Source organism: Homo sapiens, chromosome 1, assembly GCF_000001405.40.
Source record: "Homo sapiens chromosome 1, GRCh38.p14 Primary Assembly".
Taxonomy (NCBI): domain Eukaryota; kingdom Metazoa; phylum Chordata; class Mammalia; order Primates; family Hominidae; genus Homo; species Homo sapiens.
The window spans coordinates 174,232,176-174,255,831 of NC_000001.11; the positions used below are offsets into that span (position 1 = coordinate 174,232,176).

Sequence of the window (23,656 nt, forward strand, 5' to 3'; positions counted from 1 at the left end):
AATAATACATTACCTCAGCTGAACCTTTAGTTTCTTTAAATGTAAGTCAGGGCCAGGTGTGGTGGCTCACACCTGCAATCCCAGCACTTTGGGAGGCTGAGGTGGGTGAATCACTTGAGGTCAGGAGTTCGAAACCAGCCTGGGCAAAATAATACAAAAATTTGCCACGTGTGGTGGCACACGCCTGTAATCCCAGCTGCTTGGGAGGCTGAGGCAGGAGAATCGCTCAAACTCGGGAGATGGAGGTTGCGGTGAGCCGAGATCATGCCACTGCACTCCAGTCTGGGTGACAGAGACCCCCATCTCAATTAAAAAAAAAAAAAAGTGGCCGGGCGCGGTGGCTCAAGCCTGTAATCCCAGCACTTTGGAAGGCCGAGGTGGGTGGATCACGAGGTCAGGAGATCGAGACCATCCTGGCTAACACGGTGAAACCCCGTCTCTACTAAAAATACAAAAAATTAGCTGGGCATGGTGGCGGGCGCCTGTAGTCCCAGCTACTCGGGAGGTTGAGGCAGGAGAATGGTGTGAACCCAAGAGATCGTGCCACTGCGCTCCAGCCTGGGCGACAGAGCAAGACGCCATCTCAAAAAAAAAAAAAAATAAGTCAGATAATGTTATTCTCCTACATTCGGCCTTTCCCTCAGTCACACTTGTGGTTATATTTGAAATCCTTATCATGGTTAGGCACTGTTGACCTACTGCTCCAACTTGTTCTTCCCCTCTTCGTCCTTCCTTCTTTTCTTCTTAGCCTGTTTGGGCTGCTGTAACAAACTGCCATAGACTGGTGGTTTACATACAACAGATAATTATTTTTCACAGTTCTCGTGGTTGGGAGTTCCTAGATCAAAGCTCCAGCATATTTGGTGTCTGGTGAGGGCCTGCTTCCTGGTTCATGTGTTCTTACATGGTGGAAGAGAGTGTAAGAGCTCTCTGGGGTTTCTTTTATAAGGATACTACTCTTATTCAAGAGGACTCCCTTCTCTCTCTCTTTCTGTCCTTCTGTCTCCCTCCTCCCTTCTCTCTCTTCATTCATCAAAAGAAGATGCAGATTTGTGTGTATGTGTGTAAGATGTGCAAGAATATGAAGATAATTTTTTTTTTTATTATACTTTAAGTTTTAGGGTACATGTGCACATTGTGCAGGTTAGTTACATATGTATACATGTGCCATGCTGGTGCACTGCACCCACTAACTCGTCATCTAGCATTAGGTATATATCCCAATGCTATCCCTCCCCCCTCCCCCCACCCCACAACAGTCCCCAGAGTGTGATATTCCCCTTCCTGTGTCCATGTGATCTCATTGTTCACTTCCCACCTATGAGTGAGAATATGCGGTGTTTGGTTTTTTGTTCTTGCGATAGTTTACTGAGAATGATGATTTCCAATTTCATCCATGCCCCTACAAAGGACATGAACTCATCATTTTTTATGGCTGCATAGTATTCCATGGTGTATATGTGCCACATTTTCTTAATCCAGTCTATCATTGTTGGACATTTGGGTTGGTTCCAAGTCTTTGCTATTGTGAATAATGCTGCAATAAACATACGTGTGCATGTGTCTTTATAGCAGCATGATTTATAGTCATTTGGGTATATACCGAGTAATGGGATGGCTGGGTCAAATGGTATTTCTAGTTCTAGATCCCTGAGGAATCGCCACACTGACTTCCACAATGGTTGAACTAGTTTACAGTCCCACCGACAGTGTAAAAGTGTTCCTATTTCTCCACATCCTCTCCAGCACCTGTTGTTTCCTGACTTTTTAATGATTGCCATTCTGACTGGTGTGAGATGGTATCTCATAGTGGTTTTGATTTGCATTTCTCTGATGGCCAGTGATGATGAGCATTTTTTCATGTGTTTTTTGGCTGCATAAATGTCTTCTTTTGAGAAGTGTCTGTTCATGTCCTTCGCCCACTTTTTGATGGGATTGTTTGTTTTTTTCTTGTAAATTTGTTTGAGTTCATTGTAGATTCTGGATATTAGCCCTTTGTCAGATGAGTAGGTTGTGAAAATTTTCTTCCATTTTGTAGGTTGCCTGTTCACTCTGATGGTAGTTTCTTTTGCTGTGCAGAAGCTCTTTAGTTTAATTAGATCCCATTTGTCAATTTTGTCTTTTGTTGCCATTGCTTTTGGTGTTTTGGACATGAAGTCCTTGCCCACGCCTATGTCCTGAATGGTAATGCCTAGGTTTTCTTCTAGGGTTTTTATGGTTTTAGGTCTAACGTTTAAATCTTTAATCCATCTTGAATTGATTTTTGTATAAGGTGTAAGGAAGGGATCCAGTTTCAGCTTCCTACATATGGCTATCCAGTTTTCCCAGCACCATTTATTAAATAGGGAATCCTTTCCCCATTGCTTCTTTTTCTCAGGTTTGTCAAAGATCAGATAGTTGTAGGTATGCGGCATTATTTCTGAGGGCTCTTTTCTGTTCCATTGATCTATATCTCTGTTTTGGTACCAGTGCCATGCTGTTTTGGTTACTGTAGCCTTGTAGTATAGTTTGAAGTCAGGTAGTGTGATGCCTCCAGCTTTGCTCTTTTGGCTTAGGATTGACTTGGCAATGCGGGCTCTTTTTTGGTTCCATATGAACTTTAAAGTGGTTTTTTCCAATTCTGTGAAGAAAGTCATTGGTAGCTTGATGGGGATGGCATTGAATCTGTAAATTACCTTGGGCAGTATGGCCATTTTCATGATATTGATTCTTCCTACCCATGAGCATGGAATGTTCTTCCATTTGTTTGTATCCTCTTTTATTTCCTTGAGCAGTGGTTTGTAGTTCTCCTTGAGGAGGTCCTTCACATCCCTTGTAAGTTGGATTCCTAGGTATTTTATTCTCTTTGAAGCAATTGTGAATGGGAGTTCACTCATGATTTGGCTCTCTGTTTGTTTGTTGTTGGTGTATAAGAATGCTTGTGATTTTTGTACATTGATTTTGTATCCTGAGACTTTGCTGAAGTTGCTTATCAGCTTAAGGAGATTTTGGGCTGAGACAATGGGGTTTTCTAGATATACAATCATGTTGTCTGCAAACAGGGACAATTTGACTTCCTCTTTTCCTAATTGAATACCCTTTATTTCCTTCTCCTGCCTGATTGCCCTGGCCAGAACTTCCAACACTATGTTGAATAGGAGTGGTGAGAGAGGGCACCCCTGTCTTGTGCCAGTTTTCAAAGGGAATGCTTCCAGTTTTTGCCCATTCAGTATGATATTGGCTGTGGGTTTGTCATAGATAGCTCTTATTATTTTGAAATACGTCCCATCAATACCTAATTTATTGAGAGTTTTTAGCATGAAGGGTTGTTGAATTTTGTCAAAGGCTTTTTCTGCATCTATTGAGATAATCATGTGGTTTTTGTCTTTGGCTCTGTTTATATGCTGGATTACATTTATTGATTTGTGTATATTGAACCAGCCTTGCATCCCAGGGATGAAGCCCACTTGATCATGGTGGATAAGCTTTTTGATGTGCTGCTGGATTCGGTTTGCCAGTATTTTATTGAGGATTTTTGCATCAATGTTCATCAAGGATATTGGTCTAAAATTCTCTTTTTTGGTTGTGTCTCTGCCCAGCTTTGGTATCAGAATGATGCTGGCCTCATAAAATGAGTTAGGGAGGATTCCCTCTTTTTCTATTGATTGGAATAGTTTCAGAAGGAATGGTACCAGTTCCTCCTTGTACCTCTGGTAGAATTTGGCTGTGAATCCATCTGGTCCTGGACTCTTTTTGGTTGGTAAACTATTGATTATTGCCACAATTTCAGCTCCTGTTATTGGTCTATTCAGAGATTCAACTTCTTCCTGGTTTAGTCTTGGGAGAGTGTATGTGTCGAGGAATGTATCCATTTCTTCTAGATTTTCTAGTTTATTTGAGTAGAGGTGTTTGTAGTATTCTCTGATGGTAGTTTGTATTTCTGTGGGATCGGTGGTGATATCCCCTTTATCATTTTTTATTGTGTCTATTTGATTCTTCTCTCTTTTTTTCTTTATTAGTCTTGCTAGCGGTCTATCAATTTTGTTGATCCTTTCAAAAAACCAGCTCCTGGATTCATTGATTTTTTGAAGGGTTTTTTGTGTCTCTATTTCCTTCAGTTCTGCTCTGATTTTAGTTATTTCTTGCCTTCTGCTAGCTTTTGAATGTGTTTGCTCTTGCTTTTCTAGTTCTTTTAATTGTGATGTTAGGGTGTCAATTTTGGATCTTTCCTGCTTTCTCTTGTGGGCATTTAGTGCTATAAATTTCCCTCTACACAGTGCTTTGAATGTGTCCCAGAGATTCTGGTATGTTGTGTCTTTGTTCTCGTTGGTTTCAAAGAACATCTTTATTTCTGCCTTCATTTCGTTATGTACCCAGTAGTCATTCAGGAGCAGGTTGTTCAGTTTCCATGTAGTTGAGTGATTTTGAGTGAGTTTCTTAATCCTGAGTTCTAGTTTGATTGCACTGTGGTCTGAGAGACAGTTTGTTATAATTTCTGTTCTTTTACATTTGCTGAGGAGAGCTTTACTTCCAACTATGTGGTCAATTTTGGAATAGGTGTGGTGTGGTGCTGAAAAAAATGTATATTCTGTTGATTTGGGGTGGAGAGTTCTGTAGATGTCTATTAGGTCTGCTTGGTGCAGAGCTGAGTTCAATTCCTGGGTATCCTTGTTGACTTTCTGTCTCGTTGATCTGTCTAATGTTGACAGTGGGGTGTTAAAGTCTCCCATTATTAATGTGTGGGAGTCTAAGTCTCTTTGTAGGTCACTCAGGACTTGCTTTATGAATCTGGGTGCTCCTGTATTGGGTGCATATATATTTAGGATAGTTAGCTCTTCTTGTTGAATTGATCCCTTTACCATTATGTAATGGCCTTCTTTGTCTCTTTTGATCTTTGTTGGTTTAAAGTCTGTTTTATCAGAGACTAGGATTGCAACCCCTGTCTTTTTTTGTTTTCCATTTGCTTGGTAGATCTTCCTCCATCCTTTTATTTTTGAGCCTATGTGTGTCTCTGCACGTGAGATGGGTTTCCTGAATACAGCACACTGATGGGTCTTGACTCTTTATCCAATTTGCCAGTCTGTGTCTTTTAATTGGAGCATTTAGTCCATTTACATTTAAAGTTAATATTGTTATGTGTGAATTTGATCCTGTCATTATGATGTTAGCTGGTGATTTTGCTCATTAGTTGATGCAGTTTCTTCCTAGTCTCGATGGTCTTTACATTTTGGCATGATTTTGCAGCGGCTGGTACCGGTTGTTCCTTTCCATGTTTAGCGCTTCCTTCAGGAGCTCTTTTAGGGCAGGCCTGGTGGTGACAAAATCTGTCAGCATTTGCTTGTCTGTAAAGTATTTTATTTCTCCTTCACTTATGAAGCTTAGTTTGGCTGGATATGAAATTCTGGGTTGAAAATTCTTTTCTTTAAGAATGTTGAATATTGGCCCCCACTCTCTTCTGGCTTGTAGGGTTTCTGCCGAGAGATCCGCTGTTAGTCTGATGGGCTTCCCTTTGAGGGTAACCCGACCTTTCTCTCTGGCTGCCCTTAACATTTTTTCCTTCATTTCAACTTTGGTGAATCTGACAATTATGTGTCTTGGAGTTGCTCTTCTCGAGGAGTATCTTTGTGGCGTTCTCTGTATTTCCTGAATCTGAACGTTGGCCTGCCTTACTAGATTGGGGAAATTCTCCTGGATAATATCCTGCAGAGTGTTTTCCAACTTGGTTCCATTCTCCCCATCACTTTCAGGTACACCAATCAGACGTAGATTTGGTCTTTTCACGTAGTCCCATATTTCTTGGAGGCTTTGCTCATTTCTTTTTATTCTTTTTTCTCTAAACTTCCCTTCTCACTTCATTTCATTCATTTCATCTTCCATTGCTGATACCCTTTCTTCCAGTTGATCGCATCGGCTCCTGAGGCTTCTGCATTATTCACGTAGTTCTCGAGCCTTGGTTTTCAGCTCCATCAGCTCCTTTAGGCACTTCTCTGTATTGGTTATTCTAGTTATACATTCTTCTAAATTTTTTTCAAAGTTTTCAACTTCTTTGCCTTTGGTTTGAATGTCCTCCCGTAGCTCAGAGTAATTTGATCGTCTGAAGCCTTCTTCTCTCAGCTCGTCAGTCATTCTCCATCCAGGTTTGTTCCGTTGCCGGTGAGGAACTGCGTTCCTTTGGAGGAGGAGAGACGCTCTGCGTTTTAGAGTTTCCAGTTTTTCTGTTCTGTTTTTTCCCCATCTTTGTGGTTTTATCTACTTTTGGTCTTTGATGATGGTGATGTACAGATGGGTTTTTGGTGTGGATGTCCTTTCTGTTTTTAGTTTTCCTTCTAATAGACAGGACCCTCAGCTGCAGGTCTGTTGGAATACCCTGCAGTGTGAGGTGTCAGTGTGCCTCTGCTGGGGGGTGCCTCCCAGTTAGGCTGCTCGGGGGTCAGGGGTCAGGGACCCACTTGAGGAGGCAGTCTGCCCGTTCTCAGATCTCCAGCTGCGTGCTGGGAGAACCACTGCTCTCTTCAAAGCTGTCAGACAGGGACATTTAAGTCTGCAGAGGTTACTGCTGTCTTTTTGTTTGTCTGTGCCCTGCCCTCAGAGGTGGAGCCTACAGAGGCAGGCAGGCCTCCTTGAGCTGTGGTGGGCTCCACCCAGTTCGAGCTTCCCGGCTGCTTTGTTTACCTAAGCAAGCCTGGGCAATGGCGGGCGCCCCTCCCCCAGCCTTGCTGCCGCCTTGCAGTTTGATCTCAGACTGCTGTGCTAGCAATCAGCGAGATTCCGTTGGCGTAGGACCCTCCAAGCCAGGTGTGGGATATAGTCTCGTGGTGCGCCCTTTTTTAAGCCGGTCTGAAAAGCGCAATATTCGGGTGGGAGTGACCCGATTTTCCAGGTGTGTCCGTCACCCCTTTCTTTGACTCAGATAGGGAACTCCCTGCCCCCTTGCGCTTCCCAGGTGAGGCAATGCCTCGCCCTGCTTCGGCTCGCGCACCGTGCGCGCACCAACTGGCCTGCGCCCACTGTCTGGCACTCCCTAGTGAGATGAACCCGGTACCTCAGATGGAAATGCAGAAATCACCCGTCTTCTGCGTCGCTCACGCTGGGAGCTGTAGACCGGAGCTGTTCCTATTCGGCCATCTTGGCTCCTCTTCGATAATTTGTTTACTTGCATTGTTAGTACCACTTTCCTCTCCCTTTCTCTGTCTTCATTCACTACATTCCAGTTATACTAGCCTCTGTATTCATTCTTATAGGACTTACCAGTCATATTTCCCGCCCCAGGACCTTGGCATATTATCTTTATACTCCCTAAGTAAATCTTTCCCTGATTTTCCAATGCTTTTTGTTTCATCTTAGTAAACATTTTATCATAAGAAGCCTTCCTTGGTTATATCATGTAACTCTCTTTCCTCATACTGGGCCATTTTTTTTTCCTTCGTAGCACTTTTCTTTGAATTGATATTATATTTATTTGCTTATTGGTTTATTGGATATCTTCCTCACTAGATTATAAGCTTGTGAGAATAGTTTCTTTATATTTTTCCCTGCTGTAGCTTCAGTGGCTAGGGAAGTAAGTGATTCATTGTAAGATTTTAGCAAATATTTGCTGAATGAACAAATAAGCAGACCAGGTCAAGGAAATGAGGTTGAATTTGTCTGGAGCCTGGAATATTCTCTGAAAGTTGCTTTAATCTTTTAAAAACCCTTTCTGATTTGCCTCATTCTCTAAAGTTTAGAATGTGGGAAAACTTTTGCTAAATTCCAAGTACCAAAATATTGGCAATATAAATTTAGAAAATTTTGGTAAAAATGCTTTGAATTTTTCAGGAAAGGGTTTGCATGTATATTGTTTATATGTTATCGTCTAAAAATGTCAAAATGTCTTTTTAAAGAAAAATTGTTTTCAAAGTGTCTTCTATGCTATCTGTTTAGCTTCAATTTGCCAAACACACCTTGACAGAGATTTAGTGTTTTGACTTGCCTCTTTATTCCTGGGGTTGTCCCCTTACCCTCAGTTTCTAAATTTGAGATCTTGAAGGGGTCTTGAATGTGTAGATCAGTCCAGGACTTAGGATTTGTTTTGTTTTGTTTTGTTTTTGTTTTTGTGTTTGTTTTTGTTTTTGAGACACAGTTTCACTCTGTTCCCCAGGCTGGAGTGCAGTGGCACGATCTTGGTGCACTGAAACATCTGCCTCCTGGGTTCAAGCGATTCTCATACCTCGGCCTCCTGAATAGCTGGGAATACCGGTTCCCACCGCCATGCCTGGCTGATTTTTGTATTTATCAGAAGAGATGGGATTTCACCGTGTTGGTCAGACTGGTCTTGAACTCCTGACCTCAAGTGATCCACCCATCTCGACCTCCTAAAGTGTTGGGATTACAGGCGTGAGCCACTGCGCCCAACCAGGACTTAGGATTTGTGTAGGGAAAGTCAGATAATTATTTGCTTCCAAATCCCAGACTCCTTTCAGCTTTTGTATTCCGTTGTTGAATTCATCTTTGGAACCACCTGACCTTTTCTGTGGTAGAAAGGGCCTCAGTTGAACAATGAATTAGGGCTTAGATAAACTAATAGGTGCTGCTCTGTATAGAAGTGGGCTCTCCAGGAATAGTCTATACTATTCTAGATTGGCATTCCTTTTGCCATAATTGAAAAAGACTAGATTTAGGGATGGGTGATAGAGATGTTACCAGGCACGTATACTTAGCTTTGGAGTAAATGAGTTGGTTCATAGGAAACACAAGAATGAAGAAATTGTGAGAAGATAATAAAGAATTTATGTGTATGTGTGTGTTTGTGTGTGTGTGTGTGTGTGTTGTGAATATGAAGACAAGTTGTTCTCTCTTGCATTGTTAGTTCCAGTTTATTTTTGTGATTTTTAAGATAGTTATGTTTGGCCAGATGCGGGGGCTCACGCCTGTAATCCTAGCACTTTGGGAGGCCAACGCGGGGGGTCACCTGTGGTCAGGAGTTCAAGGCTAGCCTGGCTAACATGGCAAAACCCTGTCTCTACAAGAAATACAAAAATTAGCCGGGTGTGATGGCAGGCACCTGTTATCCCAGGTACTTGGGAGGCTGAAGCAGGAGAATCGCTTGAACTCGGGAGGTGGAGGTTGCAATGAGCCAAGATGGGGCCACTTCACTCCAGCCTGGGGGAAAGAGCAAAACTCTGTTTCAAACAAAACAAAACAAAACAAAAAAGATAGTTATTTTATATATCATATATTGTCATAGTAAAACTATTTGTTCTTTTTTTTTAAAAAAAAAAACCTAACTGGAAATATGTCTTTGTTCTTCGAGAATTAATATTTTATCTAACTTTTCATTACTGTTCTACAGAATTATAGACCAATCCAGCAATGTGGAGATAGCATCTTTTCCAATCTATAAGGTGTTATTCTGTGCACGTGGACATGACGGAACAACAGAGAGCAATTGCTTTGCATTTACAGAGAGTTCCCATGGTTCGGAAGAATTTCAGATACATGTTTTCTCCTGTGAAATTAAAGAGGCAGTAAGTATAATATAGTATAGCAATTTGCTATAGAGATGAATTAGGGTAATATTTTTGAGCTCTAATTTCACTGTTGTATAAATATGTTACATAAATTTGGAGTATGTTTCTAAAGACAAAATTAATATTTGTAATGACATAGAACTGAATGTGGAAAGCCAAGTCTGGTATATCTGCATAGGTAGGGCACTCTCACAGCTTAGCAGTTGTCGTAGAAAAATACAACTGGATGAGTTGCCTTTCCACCTTACCATGGTAGTAAATTGCTTATGCTCAGAAGGGAGACTATTTTTGCAGCTCTCTTATTATTTTGCCCTAGTAGATTGGTCCATGTGATTTTAAAAAGTGCCTATAACGATACCTGTTTCTCTGATGGGCTTGATAGTTGCATATTGCTTTCATTTAGATATTGCATTAAGATTATTTTATCAATCTCTGTGGTTTTCATTGATGATTATTTGTTTTGTGCTTTCTTGCTCAGAGGCTATATTTTGCTCCAGAGAACTGGCTTAAATAAAATTACAAATGCTCACTTAAAGCAGGTATAACAACTTGTAGTCCTTTGAAAATGCTAGTAAGTTTTTTTATAGAAATTACTAATTGGTAGATTATTGTTAGGAGAAATGGTTTAGATTAAATGCAGTTAATTACATAGGGAAATCTTTTCTACATCTATTGAATTATCCCCAATTTTAAAATGTTGCACTGTTAGACACTTAGTACTTAAAACCATTTCAAAGGCATTCATAAATGGGTGTGGATGGCAATGTCTCAGGTATGTTTGCTTGTGACAAAATAAATTATCAGCAGAAAATGCTGAAAGCAATAGTTATTCTAGCCTCTATCATGAAACATGAATAAATCATTCTATTAACAGGAGTTTTGAGTTTATTTCTGGCGACAAAATGGGAATTAATGGAAATATGGATTTCTGTGAGTTTGATACAAAGCATGATGGCTATGTCAGTTCTTGTGCCCTGGTGATCAGTTTGCTTTACACTAAACTGAACATGCACAGACACATATAATTTAGATTGTAACTGTAGAAATTCTCTATCAGAACCCATGCCTTCTGAAAGAAGTTGAAGTTTTGTGTTTTGTTTTTTAGATAAGGCTTTATCTATTTTTTTCCCAGCACTTACATATCTATGTGTATACTGACTTCTTGTTCAAAATGGTCTGATAGACAGGAGAGTGAATGAGTATAAGTATGCTGCTAGTGTGCCTAGCATATAGTAGACAGTGAATATAAATATGCTGAAGGAATATGTATGTTTCTGTGAATGAGGGGGGCTATTTCTGATCCTTACGAACTCCACTACAGAGGTGGGGAAGCAGATGGTAGAATCCTGGCATTTCATGTTGGCAGCCATCATTTAACCCACCTGTGTGATTTCCGAATCACTGGAGCTCAACAGCAAGGAAATGAGCTTTGAAGACCTGGAAAATCTGCTGCTTGGAGAGAGAGAAATGCTGCTGCAGAAGGATACTGAATTGCTGCAAGAAGTTTCCATAACTAATGGTATGAAACTGTCTTTTGGATTGTAGCATTCACTTGGGTTTAGAGTAGGGGAAGTGTTTATTTTTGAGAGCTTATCATGGTAGGTAAGTAGTGGAAGAAACCCTGGGAAGTTCTTGGCCAGACCATTTTGGATATAGTATTAAATAAATGCTGTTTCTATAGAGCATATTTTTTCCATTGCACGTTGTAAGAAAGTTATCTCCATCTATTATTTAATTTTTTGAGTGCATTTTAGAAAGTATTACATTATGGGGGCATTAGTGGTAAAATATATTGTTTGAAGGAGAAATACATGACAGTGGTCATTAAACCTTATTATGAGACATTATTTCTTTTTAAAAAAAATTTTAAAAATCCTCCTCCAGGTAATGAATGACACATCAGTTCTAAATGAGGAATAACCCAATATAAATAGAGAGCTTATGCCAGGCACTGTGCTAAGCGTTCATTTGATACTCATAACAGCCCGTGACCAGGTTGGACTTATTAGACAAGTGACTTTATGTTTCTCTTTGCCTGGAGCAGTTCTATTTTATGCTTATTGTCCAGGTTTTTACTAATACCCTCATTTTTATTCTCAAAAGTGTTGTGGTTTGGATGATAAATTGTTTGGTTACCCTTTGTTTATCCTGTGGCTAAGAGACTGGGTGATAGAGCTGGGTTTTAAGTTGAAGTCTTTGACTTTGAAGAGCCATACAGTTTTCAGTAACAACTTTCCTGTTGCTTACATATTATAAAACACAAATGTGGATTTTTGTATTTTAGTTATGTTTTATAAAGGGATTTATTGGTAACATAGCTTGCATTCCATTTACGTTTTGTATTTTACCTGGCCCTTTTGCAGAAGATGTCCAACATCTTCCTCTCTGCCCTACAAAATAATTATGGTTGTAATTAATCTGAAGTCTTCTAGTTACATTTACTGGTCATCCGGTTGTCTGGTTCCCAGAAGTTTTCTGTTCTTTGATAAACACCTTTAGTCGTTAGTATTTGAGTGCCTCTTGATGGGCACAAACAGTTGGCAGATAGTTCAGGAACCAGCTGACAAACATTCTTACTGCTTAAGTATGTACTGTGCAGCAATGCCACAAATTTATTTTTTATTTTTATTTTCGCAGAGTTCGTGGATGAGAGCTGAAGAGGTTTGTCGTTAAAGGAAGATTTCTGAAGCAGGAGTAGCAGCATGGCTGCCACTACTGTCACTGTGATGCTTATTTCACTATAAAATCCCTCAAACTGCAGGCATCAACAATGGTAGAAGGGAATCCCAGTGAGGGTGATGGCCCTCTTGAACACCTGTGACACAAGGATTGGGAGGTCCCACAGAAGGGTTAGGACACATTTGACTTGCAACACTTGGATGTGCTTCTGCAGGACTGTGCTTTAGTAGATTTCAATAATCTATGGCAAAAGAGTTGGACAATCCAACCAGAAGTATCTTGAGGTCAATGATCTTTGTATAAGGAGAATGATATGCTAGGCTTCTGCTGAAGAATTGCAGACCAAGCAAGGTATCAGAAAGTGTAGTGAAAAAAATACAAGGAGGCACCTGTTCTTGTCACATCTTTTTGGATATATTATATAAAACTTTCAAAAGATACTTTTAAAGTGTTAATTGAGTCTTTCTAAGATTTTATTTCTACTAGCCAGTGTAACCATTCTATGCAAAGCAGATTTTGATGATATTTGTGTGTTTTAGGATACTATTCAGTATTAGAAACTCTGTTACATTATGGAAGCATGTTTTTTGTCATCTGGTGTTAAAGGCATTCAGAGATACTTCTTGATAAATATCAAGGGCATCATTGGGAAGATACTTATTCTTATTGCATTGTTTTTTCTTGGGGTTGCAGATATGACACTGTATAAAAGAAAACGTGTTCCTTGCATGGGAAAATTTCTTTTTCTTTGAGATGGAGTTTCACTCTTGTTGTCAAGGCTGGAGTGCAATGGCGTGATCTCGGCTTACTGCAACCTACACCTCTTGGGTTCAAGTGATTCTCCAGCCTCAGCTTCCCAAGTAGTTGGGATTACAAGCATGCATCACCACACCTGGATAATTTTGTATTTTTAGTAGAGACAGGGTTGCACCATGTTGGTCAGGCTGCTCTCAAACTCCTGACCTCAGGTGATCCACCTGCCTGGGCTTCCCAAAGTGCTGGGATTACAGGCGTGAGCCACCACACCCAGTGGAGAATATCATTTCTAAACAAGTATTTATTTAATTGTTATGTTAGCTAAATGCCTCATTTTGGAAGATAATTCGAAGTTATCTTGTTAGTGTTTTCCTTAAATCAATTGATTTTTATGATTTTAAAAAAGTTTCCTGGTAGTGTGCCTCTTATTTTAGCTCCTTCCCATGAATAATGTATTTGAGCTAGCTGTTTTAAAAATTTTAATACATACCTTTCAAGGTGCCTTTCATAGAATGATTTTTCACATTTATTTCTTGGGTGAACTTTTTATTTTTTTTTTTGAGGCAGAGTCTCACTGTCTCCCAGGCTGGAGTGCAGTGGCGTGATCTCGGCTCACTATGATCTCCACCTCCTGGGTTCAAACGATTCTTCTGCCTCAGCCTCCTGAGTAGCTGGGATTACAGGCACATGCCACCACGCCTGGCTAATTTTTGCGTTTTTAATAGAGACGGGGTTTCACCATGTTGGCCAGGCTGGTCTTGAACTCTTGACCTCAAATGATCCACCTGCCTCAGCCTCCCAAAGTGCTGGGATTACAGGTGTGAGCCACCATGCCTGGCCTTGGGTGAACATTTTCTTGATATATGGTGTTTCCAAAAGAGTGAGTTATCTTTCACCAGTATTAATGAAAAGACTTCATCTTGGAGAAACTAGCTATGTTATTTATTTTAAATAAATACCTTTGTTACTTAATAACAGTGTTTGGACTTTTAAGATGTAATACATATTTGAGAATTTGGAAAATATTGAAATAAAAAAGAAAATAAAAGGTGCTTAAAATTCCGCCGCAGTTAAGATTTTGGTGTATCTCCATTCCAGATATCTACATGTGCTCTCCTCCCTGCCTCTTCAAAAACAACAGCAACAAACTCAAACAGATATACAGTTTTGTGTTTAGTATTTTCTATAGATACTGTTTTCTGGAGAAAGATTGTATTATTTATCAATAAACCTTTTCCTTCTGCAAAGAAATGCCCATTCAAGACTATTTGTGTGTATGTGTTTTAATAAGTGTGACATGTATTGAAGTGTTTGCCATGGTATGTGTTTTTAATTTCCTTTCTTGATGTACAGTTAGCCCACTATATTTGTGGATTCTACATCCATGGAGTCAACTAACCATGGCTTTAAAATATTTGATAAAAATGTATGGTTTCATCTGTACTGAATATCTATAGCCTTTTTTCCTTGTCATTAGTCCCTAAAAGATACAGTATAAAAACCATTCACATAGCATTTATATTCTATTAGGTATTATAAGTAATTTAGAGATTAAAGTATATGGAAAGATGTGTGTAGGCTATATGGAATATTACACAGTTTTATATAAGGGACTTAAACATCTATGCATTTTGGTATCTGGGAGTTTTGGGGGGTCCTAGAAACAATTCCCCATGGGTACCAAAGGACAACTGTAATTGGTTATCCAGTTTGTTATAAGATACTGATAGTCATTGTTTCTGAAGTTTATCTTGTTAATTCTTGGATTACTGTTTCAGCTTATTCACAGACTCTAGAATTCACAATATATTTTAACTCTTTTGGTAGAAATGGCAGCTTGTAAGACATAGTATTAAATGCAATTTGATTGCTGTTAATGAAATTAATGTACTGTCGTGTTCTTTCTCCAAAAGAGAGATAGATGGAATCTTATTTTTTTTTCTCCATCATTCTGTATCACTCTGGCTCAGCTCCATACGCTTAACCTTTCTATAAAGAATTTTTTGAAGCCTTGCCAGATGCTTTAGAATTTGCCAAGTTCTTTGACTTTTTTTGATATGGCCTTCTGATGTGACAAGCTGGCTGATCTGACATAAAGAATGTGAAAAAGAAGAGATGAGAAAGGGGAAAAAAGAATAAATATGGCTGGGGTTTAACTACCAATGTATGCAAAATTACATACAGGTGTTCTCCTGTTTTCACATACAGTGCTTTCTTAAAAATACGCTTAAGTCCGGGAGTAGCCAGAAAGAGTCATGGCCCAAAACCCCCTAACAGCAGTTAGTGTGGCATCTCCACAGTGGGGAATGTTGTAGGAGTTATTAAGAAATTATTTTAGGCATATAGAGATGAAAAGGGATCCTTGGGAAATTTTCATTTTTTAAAGCATCTCTGGAAAAGTTTCTTGTAAAGCCCCAGCTCTTAGAGCCAGGCCAGCAACCTATAATATACAAATGGTAGCCATTAGAAACCGGGTCCACCCAACATGGCAATTCCCAGGGCCTTCTTGCCCTTGCCCCACATGTTCCTGGCAACATGGCTGCCCACACATATCCTTGCGTGTGGAGAGCATCATGGTGCCCTGCATTTGCATATGAAAAGCTAGGGTGGGAGGGCCAGCTTTTTCCACCTGCTACGTGAATTGCATGCCTAGTCAAACCCATCCCATGAGCCCTATGCAAATCAGACATCACGTCCTCCAGCCTCTGCATATATACCTGGTTAGTATGCATGGCAGGTGGTGTTCTGTCTCTTGGCTTTGGAGCCCCTCTCCCTCTGTCTCTGTATGGGGAGCCGCTTTTTTTTTGCCCTTGTTTCTTGCCTATTAAACTCCCTGCTCCTTAAAACAAAACTAAATATACACTGAAGTTAAATGTATAAAAATCAGACAGTAGACTTTATATTTCATTTAGGAGTAGGAAGTGGAGAATACCCAGAGAACTAAAAGTAGTTTAAAGTCTCTATTTACACTTGACCTTGTAGGCATAGTCTTCAATGACATATTTCTAGCATATTCTTTGGTTCTGTTTTCCTCTATAAACACTTGAATTATTGGGCTAAATCCAGTAACTATCCAGCTGAGGCTGAACCTTTCTGTTTTTAGCTTATCTAATGATTCCCTCTCATCCATCCCCAAGCACATTCAACTTAATATTTGCTGGAGTACAGGCTGTATGTTCTCTCTTGTATTTCTGGCACCTAGACTAATACTTGGTATGCAGAAGGTGCTCAAATAATATTTGTTGAATGAATGAGTTTATTGTCTTAATTATATAAGTTTTGAGGCCTACAGTTCTTATTAGCATCAATCTTTTGCTGCTTTTTTAATTTTTACTCATATAAGATTAAAATGGGGATAGCATGGTAAAATAATGAAGAAATTTTGGGAACATTATGATATAAATATGGTGCTACTGCAGAAGTTGAACTTTAGACTGGCAGGTAGGATTTCTGTATAGTTGTTAAAAGTTAAAACTGTTAATTTGGCATTGAGAAGGCACTTTAGGGTAATCATTGGTTAATGGGTATAAATGTGGCATTCGGAAGTTTTTGAATGTGTTAGACTGTGTGTGCTTGTACAAGAAAAAGTGGCAGAATATGTGAATAAAACAAAGGAAAACAGAAGACCTCATACTTTAACAGACTCTTCTGTTATAGGGAGTATTCCTGTTTCAAGCAAGTTACAAATATTGTATTCCTAGACTAATACAGTTCAAGAAGTACTTTGAATTCACTTTATCTAAAGTGAGGGATTTATTAATGTTCACAGCATTCTTCTTATCTGTACTTCCCAATGTGACACATTGAAAATATTTTTTTAACCCTTCACATTTCACCTTGTTTTCTTTGTCAACCTATGCGTGGGCTGAGAGATTTGGAGAATCTTTGGTGCTTCAAGCTCACAAGTTTGTGATGATCTGATGCTTCTTTTGGAACCAAGAAGTAGAATAACTTCTGGAGAAGTGTTGGATTTAGAGTACTTCTTCACTTTAAGGAAAGAATATGAGCTATACACACAAATACACACACATATGTATATACATATATATGTATATATGTATGTATAAAAGTAGTCACTAGAGTGGCCTAATACCAATAGAATAGATAAGAATAAGACCATTTCAGCATTCATTCTGGGAACCCAACACTTATAGCACAACAACATTGAGTAAAAATACTGGTAGCTCTTTATGTTACTGACTGTATTGCTAAAGCCAGTATTTGCCTTATTCTATGGTTCTGTATCTAGCCCCTGAGGCTGAGGGAAGTGAAGAGAGAACTTGGAGACTTGGCCAAAACCTTGTTTGTGAGAGTGTGTTGGGAAGATTCAGATACCAATATCATTTTAGTAAATTATCTTAGGATACATTCAATTTCTTGTATATTTTGAAGCCTAGAAATATCTATAAATAAATACAGTTTATTTTGTGAACTTAAATTAGTTCAATATCTTTATCACCATGTTTAAATGTCAGAGTTGTGAGAAGCAAATATTTGAAAGATAGCTTTTTTTTTTTTTAAAGTAAAAGGAATTCCTTCTTTCTTTCTTTCTTTCTTTTTTTTTTTTGGAGACAGAGTCTTGCTCTGTCACCCAGGCTGGAGTGCGGTGGTGCAATGGCTCACTGCAACCTCCACCTGCCAGGTTCAAGCAATTCTCCTGCTTCAGCCTCCCGAGTAGCTAGGATTACAGGTGTGCACCACCATGCCCTGCTAATTTTTTGTATTTTTAGTAGAGATGGGGTTTCACCATGCTGGCCAGTCTGGTCTTGAACTCCTGACCTTGTGATCTGCCTGCCTTGGCCTCCCAAAGTGCTGGGATTACAGGCATGGAGCCACTGTGCCCGGCCCTCTTGCCCTTCTTCATTCTTAAGATGCTCAGATCCTAGTTGCAGCTCCTAAATCATAGTTCTCTTCTGGTCTCCAGTATGTATGCTGGTGGTGCTTAGTGTTGAACTTTATCTGTATATATTTGAAAACCCTCCTCAGATTTGAACTTAAGTTTCCATGAAGTGAAATGTACCCCATTATTAATTTCAAAGTAAAAAATTCTGTTAATTTACTTCTTAAGCGATATTTCTTCAATATTTCCCTTCTTGGACTTCACATTGATGATAGTTTTTAGGTTGTAATAATTTAGAGTTTGGATGGTCTACATTTACCATCTACAGTTGTTTACTCCCTCTTTTTTTAATGCACAAGTGATGAAAATGTTGTCATGTAATATCTAAACAATGATAAATACTTAGACTATATATAAAAATATATATTCTGCCAAAGAAAATTGTCATGGAAAATTGTAGATTCAAGAGTTAGGAGAGAAGGATATCAGAATGCAATTAAAACCTTTGCCTAATGGTATTTCCTTTTTTATTCTTTTAGGTAAGCAGAATTTTGTACAGTTTCTGTACAGCATTCAAACGTTCTTCCAGACAAGTGTCTGATGTTAAAGACTCAGTTATTCCTACCCCCGACAGTGATGTGTTTACCTTCAGTGTCTCCTTGGAGGTAAAAGAAGACGATGGAAAAGGAAACTTTAGGTGAGGCATTTGGAAAGATTAAAAATTCGCATTGTATCTGGAGTATAATATAGGCGCATATAAAGTTTCAAGAAACTATACAGTGTTGGCATAAAGCCTCAAACTGATAAATATTTGGCTGGTGAATTAATATTTTTTATTCTTGTGCTTGTCAGATATTTCTTTCCTTTTTTTTTTGAGATGGAGTTTCGCTCTTGTCACCCAGGCTGGAGTGTGCATGTGCAATGGCACGATCTCGACTCACTGCCATCTCTGCCTCCTGGGTTCCAGTGATTCTCCTGCCTCGGCCTCCTAAGTAGCTGGGATTACAGGCGCCTGCCACCATGCCTGGCTCATTTTTGTATTTTTAGGAGAGACGGGGTTTCACCCCGTTGGCCAGGCTTGTCTCGAACTCCTGACCTCAGGTGATCTGCCTTCCTTGGCCTCCCAAAGTGCTGGGATTATAAGTGTGAGCCACCGCGCTTGGTCAGATACTTATTTTCTTAATGATTTAAAAAATACTGATACTGTAGAAAATTTAGTAAAATAATAAAAGTAGAATAAAAACTACGATCTTGTCAGCCACAGTCACTTTTAACATTTGGTCTCTTCCCTTTGTTTATTTCTAGGGGAATTTTTACACAATTGTATATATATACCTTTTTTTTTTCTTTATGTTAAGTGTTCTAATCAAAATTGTTTTTAACAGTAACTGATAATATATGGTTTGACCACCACTTAATTAACCATTTCTTTTTTTTTTGTACATTTAGAATGTTTTCCTCCAGTTCAGATATAGACAGTTAATAGGAAACAGTTATATTATTTAATGCTCAACTTTGTTCCTTAGCTGTGCCTTTAATTCTAAGAGTAGTTGCTAGCTAGGTATTTTATCTGTAGTTTTACAGACATTGAAATTGAGGTCATGTAAAAGTTGCTCAAGATATTTTTTCTTTTTAGATAAGACAAGCCATATTTTATACATTGATTATTTTAATGAATTAATTTGTAAGAATAGTCTAGCCTAGGCTAGAATTTGATTAACTTGTCCCTGTTATGTATCTCTTTGTCCATCTTTTGTTTATATATTCATGGATACATCACAGTCATCTCAAATTCTATGTGTCTAAAAGTATGCTCTTCTCACTTCCTTTGCTTTGGATTTCACTGTTTTACAGGCACTTATGACCACCCAACCAGCTAAACCAGACATGTGACAGTCTTAAGAACTTCAAGTAAACATTATTCCTAAATTTGTTTTAAAACTGAAATTTATCATGTTGTCATTTTTTTTTTTTTTTTGGAGATAGAGTCTTGCTCTGTCGCCCAGGCAAGATTGCAGCAGTGCAATCTTGGCTCACTGCAACCTCTGCCTCCTGGGTTCAACCAATTCTCCTGCCTCAGCCTCCCCAGTAGCTGGGACTACAAGCATGCACCACCACTCAGCTAATTTTTGTATTTTTAGTAGAGATGGGGTTTTACCATGTTGGCCAGGCTGGCCTCAAACTCTTGATCTCAAGTGATCAGCCTGCCTTGGCCTCCCAAAGTGCTGGGATTACAGGCGTAAGCCACCGTGCTTGGCCATGTTGTCTTTTTTAAGATCTTGCTTTTAACTTTGGTTAGCAGACAAAATATAAGGCTCTTGTAAACTCAATTTAGAAATTAATAATGACTGTGTTGCTGACTATAAAGTTTATAGTCAAATAAAATTAATAGTTTGCTGCCTGTGGCAAGGTGAGAGTTTAGTATATCTTAAGAATAAGGGTGTTGTTGCTTAAATACTTTGTTGTTTTGTTCTAACCTTGGAATAGGTTATTTTATCATTTTATTAGATTATTGGTAATTCCTATTCCTTTTGAATATTTCAGCCCTGTGCCTAAGGATAGAGATAAATTTTATTTCAAATTAAAGCAAGGAATAGAGAAGAAGGTTGTGATTACAGTGCAGCAACTTTCTAACAAAGAATTAGCTATTGAAAGGTAAGCAGCTTGCTCCTAAATGCTACCAAAAACTTGTATTGACATTGTTACTGTCTCAGATGCATTGCTCAGTGTGGCTTTTCACTATACTTCATTTTCTCCAATTAAAAATGAGGATAATTAATAATACTTTCTCTACTTTAACTTAGATGTAACTGGTTTCATTGAAAATCAATTGCTGGGGTAAGTAAACATGAAATGGTTTTAGTTTTTCAGTCATAACTGCTACAACTGGGTTTGTTCACATCTTTTTTTCTTGTTCCTTATTTACATACAGCATAAATACTTTTAACTTTTCAATCACTTTCGATTACTCTTCCACTTAGCTGCTGGAATTTCAGAAACTTTAAAAGATAGATACATATTTTTAAAATATATAAATACATACACATATACTTGTGTGTCAATTCACAGGAAAACTATTCAGAAAACAAAGGAATGGTAGGACAAAAGATATAAATAAAGTCAACAAGAAATGATAGTTCTGGAAAAAATATTCGTAATGTAGATGACAGGAAAAGGTAATGTCTACAATATACATAAATTTCTTAACAATTGGCAGAAAGCAGAGGAGAAAAACAGGTCAGAGTATAAACAGATCAGAGGAAAGCTACTGGATGGCTAAGAAACATATGTAAAGAGGTCCTGATTCACAAAAAGACAGGGAAATGCGAATTATAGTAACCTTAAGATATCAGATTGCAAAAATATGTAGTGATGGTGGGGGTATGGGGCAAAGGGAATTCTCATACTGTTAATGGAAATGTAAAATGTACGTATGTCCTTTTTGAAAACCAATTAGGCAACATATATAAAGATTTTAATACCTATAATTGGACACATAAGTCTTATTCTAGGGAATCTGTGCTATTCAAAATAAAAGTATCACTATTTAAGGACATTTGTAAGGATGTTTATTAATAAACTTAATTCAAAGTTAATTCAATACCTAGTACTTCTTTGTCTTTGTTGCTACATATTTGTTAAATTGAAAGTTGCTTTGTTATGCCAAAAAGGAAGTGCTCAAAAAAATGATGGGGGCATATGCTAAAGATAGGGTTTGAAGGGGCTTCAACTGGTTACTTCTTGGGCAATCTGAACAACAAAATAATTAGGTACTTCAGTCAATTATCAGTCAGTACTGAAGTCAATCAGTACTTCAGTCAAACAACAAAGGATGTTTATTAATTTAACTTTGAAGTATTATTTTTAGTGGCAAAAACTGGAAATACAGATGCCTATTTGGCTTCAAGGAGCAAGGGAAGTTGGTGATGCTCAAGAGAAATAAAAGCCTCTTCATCAAGACTGCTGTATACTATGTCTTATTCTAGGGAATCTGTGCTATTGGAAATAAAATTCCAATAATAAATAGATTCCCTCTGTCTTCCCTCCAGTCTCTAGACTGGGATGAGGGTGGGAGGCAATTGAGGCGCTGGCTGATGGCATCATGGCCACTTCTGTTCCTCTTAAATATAGGAGAAGGTATCTGGCCCCCAGTTATCTGCTGTTTTTTTTTTTAGAAGGTAGGCTATCTAGCTCCACTTTGTTCCCATCTTTGAATCCTGCCAGGCAACAGGAAAAGTTTTATTCAGCATCTTGGTACAGTGATGCATGCATGTGTTTTTAATTGCTTGCAAAGTTTGGCCATATGTAAAAACCATCTTTTATAAATTTTAAGATGCATGTGTTTTCATATTGAACATCTCTGAAATTGTAGTTTGTCTTATAATTGATGGCATTTTTTAAATACTTTAAGTTCTGGGATACATGTGCAGAACATGCAGGTTTGTTACGTAGGTATACCTGTGCCATGGTGGTTTACTGTACCCATCAGCCCATCATCTAGGTTTTAAGCCACACATGCATTACCTATTTGTCCTAATGCTCTCCCTTCCCTTGCCCCCGAACCCTGACAGGCCCCGGTGTATGATGTTACCCTCCTTGTGTCCATGTGTTCTCATCGTTCAGCTCCCACTTATGAGTGAGAACATGCAGTGTTTGGTTTTTTGTTCCTGTGTTAGTTTGCTGAGAATGATGGTTTCCAGCTTCATCTATGTCCCTGCAAAGGACATGAACTCATTCTTTTTTATGGCTGCATAGTATTCCGTGGTGTATATGTGCCACATTTTCTTTATCCAGTCTGTCATTGATGGACATTTGGGTTGGTTCCAAGTCTTTGCTATTGTGAATAGTGCTGCAGTAAACATACGTGTACATGGGTCTTTATAGTAGAATGATTTATAATCCTTCAGGTATATACGCAGTAATGGGATTGCTGGGTCAAATGGTATTTCTGGTTCCAGATCTTTGAGGAATCACCACACTGTCTTCCACAATGGTTGAACTAATTTGCACTCCTGCCAGCAGTGTAAAAGTGTTCCTATTTCTCCACATTCTCTCCAGCATCTGTTGTTTCTTGACTTTTTAATGATTGCCATTCTAACTGGTGTGAGATGGTATCTCATTGTAGTTTTGATTTGCATTTCTCTGATGACCAGTGATGATGAGCTTTTTTTCATATGTTTGTTGGCCGCATAAATGTCTTCTTTTGAGAGGCATCTTATAATTATAGTTGTCACCTTTTTTTCATGAGATACAAAAAATAATGGTGAGTCTTAAAATTGATGGCTTTCTTAAAATTGATGAAAAAGAGCTGAAGATATCGTATTTTTGATGTTGAATATTACAGTTCCAAAAGAATATGATTATATTTTGCATACAGGAACCTTTTAGTTTTTAGGGGTAAGCATTATATATAGCAGTGTTTTAAACTTTTTATTTGGAAGTAATTTCAAACTTACAGAAGAGTTAAAAACAATACAACTAGTAGAGAGAAGACCTGTATACTCTTTACCAAGATTGTTACCAATATCTCAGTGTTACCAGTGTTACCAAAATCTCAGATATTGATGACATTTTACCTAATTTGCTTTGCATTCTCTTTCTTTTTTTGAGACAAAGTCTCGCTCTGTCAGCCAGGCTGGAGTGCCATGGCCTGATCTTGGCTCACTGCAACCTCCACCTCCTAGGTTCCAGCTATTCTCCTGCCTCAGCCTTCTGTGTAGCTGAGATTACAGGTGTGCCCTACAACGCCTGGCTAATTTTGTATATTTTTAGTAGTGATGGGGTTTCACCATGTTGGTCAGGCTGGCCTTGAACTCCTGACCTCAAATGATCTGCCTGCCTCAGCCTCCCAAAGTGCTGGGATTACAGGCATAAGCCACTGTGCCCAGCTTGCACT

General features: G+C 38.6%; 1 protein-coding gene across 12 annotated transcripts in view, besides 1 other annotated feature; it reads left to right on the forward strand.

The window, feature by feature from the left end:
• RABGAP1L (RAB GTPase activating protein 1 like) overlaps positions 1–23,656 on the forward strand; it is an 835,789-nt gene that overhangs the window by 72,656 nt on the left and 739,477 nt on the right. For 11 of the 12 annotated variants that reach the window (NR_158982.1, XM_011510223.3, XM_047436028.1 and 8 more), the window contains 3 exons: positions 9,308–9,482; positions 18,300–18,457; positions 20,305–20,415. Coding sequence is in view for 10 of the 12 variants with exons in the window: in XM_011510223.3 (XP_011508525.1) it covers positions 9,308–9,482; positions 18,300–18,457; positions 20,305–20,415 (444 nt within the window). In the remaining 2 variants the exon portion in view is untranslated. Of the gene's footprint in view, positions 1–9,307; positions 9,483–10,806; positions 11,005–12,122; positions 14,168–18,299; positions 18,458–20,304; positions 20,416–23,656 lie in introns of those variants that run through there. The other variant, NR_158981.1, reaches the window with a different exon arrangement.
• Positions 6,215–6,844: an enhancer, noted in NCBI's record as "NANOG-H3K27ac-H3K4me1 hESC enhancer chr1:174207528-174208157 (GRCh37/hg19 assembly coordinates)". NCBI's record gives its function as "activates a minimal SCP1, AML or CMV promoter by ChIP-STARR-seq in naive H9 embryonic stem cells {active_cell/tissue: H9 hESC(naive)}" and the evidence as "EXISTENCE:reporter gene assay evidence [ECO:0000049][PMID:30033119]".